Below are 4,906 nucleotides of genomic sequence, written 5' to 3'. Positions count from 1 at the left end.
CTGCAGATAGAAGCATGGTTACTAGTCAGCCAAACCTAAATTTTTTTTTGTTTCCTTCCTTCTTCCTTCCTTCCTTCCTTCCTTCCTTCCTTCCTTCCTTCCTTCTTCCTTCCTTCCATCTCTCTTTCTCTCTTTTTGACACAGGGTCTTGCTCTGTCACCCAGGCTGGAGTGCAGTGCCACAAGCATGGCTTACTGCATCCTCAACCTTCTGGGCTCAAACGATCCTCCCATCTCAACCTCCCAAGTAACTGGAACTACAGGCACACGCCAATATCCCTGGCTAATTAAAAAAAATGTAGATATGTGGTCTCACTCTGTTGCCCAGACTGGTCTTGAACTCCTGGGCTCAAGCAATTCTCCCATCTGGGCCTCTCAAAATGCTGGAATTACGAGGCTCAGCCACTGCACCCAGCCAGCTGCTGTTAAAATAAAGATAACATGTCAGATTATTGGAGTGAGCCTAATGTAATCACATGAGCCTTTAAAAGCAGAAAAGGAAAGCAGAAGAGTCAGTTAGCGAGTTGGGGCAGAGGAATAAGGGAAAAGAGATCCAAAAGAAGGAGGAATTGAGAGAAATTCCTATAGTAAGAAGGCTTTGATGTGCCTTGCTGGTTGTAAGTGGAGAGCCATGTGAAAGGACTAGAGAAGGTCTTTAGGAGCTAATGACAGCCCCTAACTGACAGCTAGGAAGAAAATGGTGTCCTCATTCCTACAGCTGTAAGAAAATGAATTTGACCAATATCCTGAATAAACCTGGAAGTGGCTTCTTTGCGAGAACCTCCAATAAGCAATGCAATCCTGTTGACACCTATATTTTAGCCTGATGAGATGTGTGTCAGATTTCTGACCACTCGAAACTATGAAGTAATAAATTTGTGCTGTTATAAACTGCTAAGTTTGTAACAATTTATTACAATAGCAATAGAAAATCAATACGCTTGATGATTCATTTTCATGTAATCCACAGCTCTCTCCTGAACGATTCTTGTACTAAGGTTAAGGACTCCTGTCTTATATTTAAATCTTAGTCCTCATATATGCCAAGCAGATTTTGACAAAAAATGATGAATGATCTCCAGATTTCTAAGACCAGTAAGTTTTTCTTTATTTCTTAGCTTTCATCCTTTTAATTTTTCTTCAATATTTGATATTTTAGATTTTTTCCGTATTGAAATTCCTTTCTGCATTGACTGTACCACCATTAAAATTTTGATTTTTTTTCTTAGTTCTCCTTTCTATTTCCTCATACTCTGTATAGTCCCCAAATGGAGATTTCTCAAGGCATTTTCATGGCCGTTTACACTCAATTCTGAATTACATAATCAACCCATGGCTTTATATATCACATGATGTGTGAGAAAGAGAGTGATGTAGTATACTGTGCATGAACTTTAAAGCCAGATGGAACTTACTTTGAGTCTAAGCTCCATGGTTTACACTGCATTAGTTGACTGTCATTAAATTATGCTGCATAAGAAACAACTTCCAAGTCTTAGAGAGTTGCAACACTAAAGTTTTACTTCCTTGCTCATATATATTTTTTCATGTCAAGTGTGGTCCGCTTTGTTTTACATGTCTTTATTTTAGATCCAGGCTGAAGGAGCAAACCTTGTTTCCTGGAAAAATGAAAAGGACAATGTCATATCCATGTGATGGTTCTTGAAGTTTCTGATGGGATATAGCATACATAAATGTCTAGAGGAAGTCATATAGACAAGCATGATATCAGTGATCTGGTGAACTATATTCCTTCACCTGGGAGGCACAGAGAGCCACATGGCAAGGGACAGGGACATATACTATTTCTACTGGGAAAGAGACACAAACTTGGGAGAAATAATACAATCTATCTAAAAAATGCTTTTATAACAGTAATAACTTAATTGTACATTTTCTTAGATCCATTTTACTAATTGATAAATGGAAGATAGCAATATTTATTCCACAGGTTGTTTTTAAGATTAAATGAGTACATGTATTTTAAAAACTTGCCCCAGCATCTGATACATTGTAGATGTTTAATAAATACTGGTTAATTCCATTCTCCTTTTTCTAATTACTCTAAATAATTTTTTTGAGCTCTAGGAACCAGATATTTCGTTGTCTAAGGACAATTTTGCCCAGTGCTTCTAACACATCATACTCCACAAATCCTTAATTTTTCATTATTGTCCCTGAAAAACATACTTTGCTCCTGTACTTTCGACCTTTGAAAAGTAACTGATTCATCAGCCACCTAGGAATGAAAACTATAATTTTTATTCCTCAATCATTGTTTCCAACCAATATGTTAATAGGTCCTGTTAACAGGCTTTTTTAGTACTCATTCTAATTGCTTCGAACATAATTCAAGAGCCTGTTATATTTTCTTTGTGATATTTAAAAATCCTCTTGAGAACTAACATAATGACTAATTATAAAATTTGTAATTTATAATTAGCAGAAAAAATTATTTATCTAAAACTTCCCCGCCCCTTTTTTTTTGCATGAGCTGCTTCAATAGCCTTTGAGCATTTTTTTTGAAATTTGTGTTTTATTTTTGCTACTTCATTGCAGCAAATTAGCCATAGTGTTTCCATTCTTTGGGTTGATTAATTTTTTAAAAAGAAATAATAATATTTTAAAGTCATATATTAAGTATATCTCATATAACAAGAAATTGATAAACATTGGAGTGGTTGTTTCACTTTCATCACATTTTCAATCCAGTGCCTTGATGTTTCAACTTCTCTTTATGTGGGTTCAGTTCAATTGAAGCTAATTTTCAGTATGTTTCAAAATTCAGACACTGAGCACTTCTTTAATGACCAACATTTTTTATGAAAATGGATAGGATTTCCCTTAAGTACAGTTTGTTATCTTCTCAATTGTTGTATCTTACGTCTACGTTTGTCTACAGTAGCTACGTGATCAATGCATCTAATTTGTATCATAACTCCTTTGGTTAAAGAATTTTGGCAATTCCAAAATGAACATGCACATATGCTTTTGTTTGCAGACTGACAAATCTAAAAAATCTAAAAACTAAAAACTGATAAATCTAAAAATCTAAAAACTGATAAAAATAGCTAATGAACTTTATTTATAGAATCTATTATTATTACATCTATTATTTCATGTACATGGTACTGAATGATATAGCAGATAATTCCTGAAACGAAAAGGAGTACATGAAGAATTCATTTGATTGACCCATATAAAAATCTGTATATTAAGAAAGGGGATAAAGATAGCATATGAATTAAAATATCTACAAGAGATAGATCCCACTTTGTTGTTTAGAATAGTAGTCTCTAATTATGGGAAAGACAGAAATGTACTTCATATCTACTGTTCTGATGCAATAGTTAGAACAAAACAGGTAGGACAAAATGACTGCAAAAAAACCTCATCTTTGGTGAAAAAAGTTTGCAAAGACTGTTGAAATATTCCAGTGCAACACAAATTACTGTATATTTTGTAAGAAATCAGTAAAATCTAGCTTTTTTTTGGTGGGGAGTTGTGAAAGTAAAGTGATTTGGTCCCTTGATTATTTGTTGGAATTAGTCATTAAGTGAACTGGTTACTTGGTAAACTATATTTTGTTATGCCTCCAAAAGTGACCTTTAACTAGATATATTTCAGAGAATTAGTTTGTTCTCTGAATTGACCATCATGTGTTTAATCTCTTGCTCATCACATTTATTCTAATTAGTATTGCTACTTTCCATTTATAAACATTTAATCGGACCACTGTCATCTCTAAAATACTTGTAAATGACATTCAAATTCTTATAGAGTATAAACCAAATCTCCCATCCACTCATAGCTTCCATACGTAGTGTGTGTTTTGCTACACCCTGCTCTTACCAATACCATGGCACCATCAGACACTTACCAGCACCATACATTATTTTCCAAGCCAGGAAGTATATTGATAAATGCTCTTCCTATCATATACCAATCCAGTCCAGTTCAAATGTTCTGTCTTAAATAGGCTTTTCCTTATCTTCATAATAAAACTAATAACTTCTTTTTACTTATGGCCATAGTTGGTTTGTTTTATAATATATCAAAGGCACAATATGAGAGAATAATAGGACAAAGGAAGACTAAGACTGCTCTGGTCAAGCTCCAAAAGTTGCTAGTGCTTAGAAGAGACTATCACAAGGCTTGGATGAAGCTATCAACAGATTAGTGAGCTGCTTTTCCAGAAATAAGTTTTTTTAAATAAAAGTTTATCCAGAATTAATCTGACTGCATGTAACTGACTTATACAAAATGATTTCATAAGCAGCTGATGTTTTGTAAATCAGAAATCAATTTATTTTCATAGGTAATTAAATACTTGGCTCAAAAATGCAGGGCAGCACTTAGCATTCAGGATTTGGCACATCATCCTAAGGAGAATGTCTGCTTTAGTGTTGCTACATGAAGGCAGGGACTATGTGTGTAATATTCACTAGATGTCCCAGAGATGAACACAATACCTTGCATAGAGCAAGTGCTCAAAAATATTTGTTTAATCAATTAATAAATAAAAAGGATTAAAAAGGCATTACTATGGCCCTGTGCAAACCAAAAGCCAATTTTTTGCTATATACGGTGGTGAGAGTTTGAGAATAAAGGGATTGAAAATTATCAAGGTTGCTGCTGTTTCCTCCTCTTCCTCCTTCTTCTTTTCCTTCTTCTTCTTATTTCTTCTTCTCCTTCCCTCCCCCTTCTCCTCCTTTCCTTCCTCTTCCTACTCTTTCTTCTCCCCATCTTTCTCTTTCTCCTTCTTCTCCTCTTCCTTTTCCTCCCTTTTTTCCCTCATCCTCCCACTCCTCCTCCTGCTCATCATACTTCCCCTTCTCCTTTTTTATTTTAAAATATGGCAAGTAGATAAATTACAGTGCTCCACAACAGAAATATTTCTTCCTTAA

This window comes from Homo sapiens, chromosome 14, assembly GCF_000001405.40.
Source record: "Homo sapiens chromosome 14, GRCh38.p14 Primary Assembly".
NCBI lineage: Eukaryota > Metazoa > Chordata > Mammalia > Primates > Hominidae > Homo > Homo sapiens.
The sequence above is the reverse complement of the archived record's forward strand: the minus strand, read 5'-3'. Positions refer to the sequence as shown.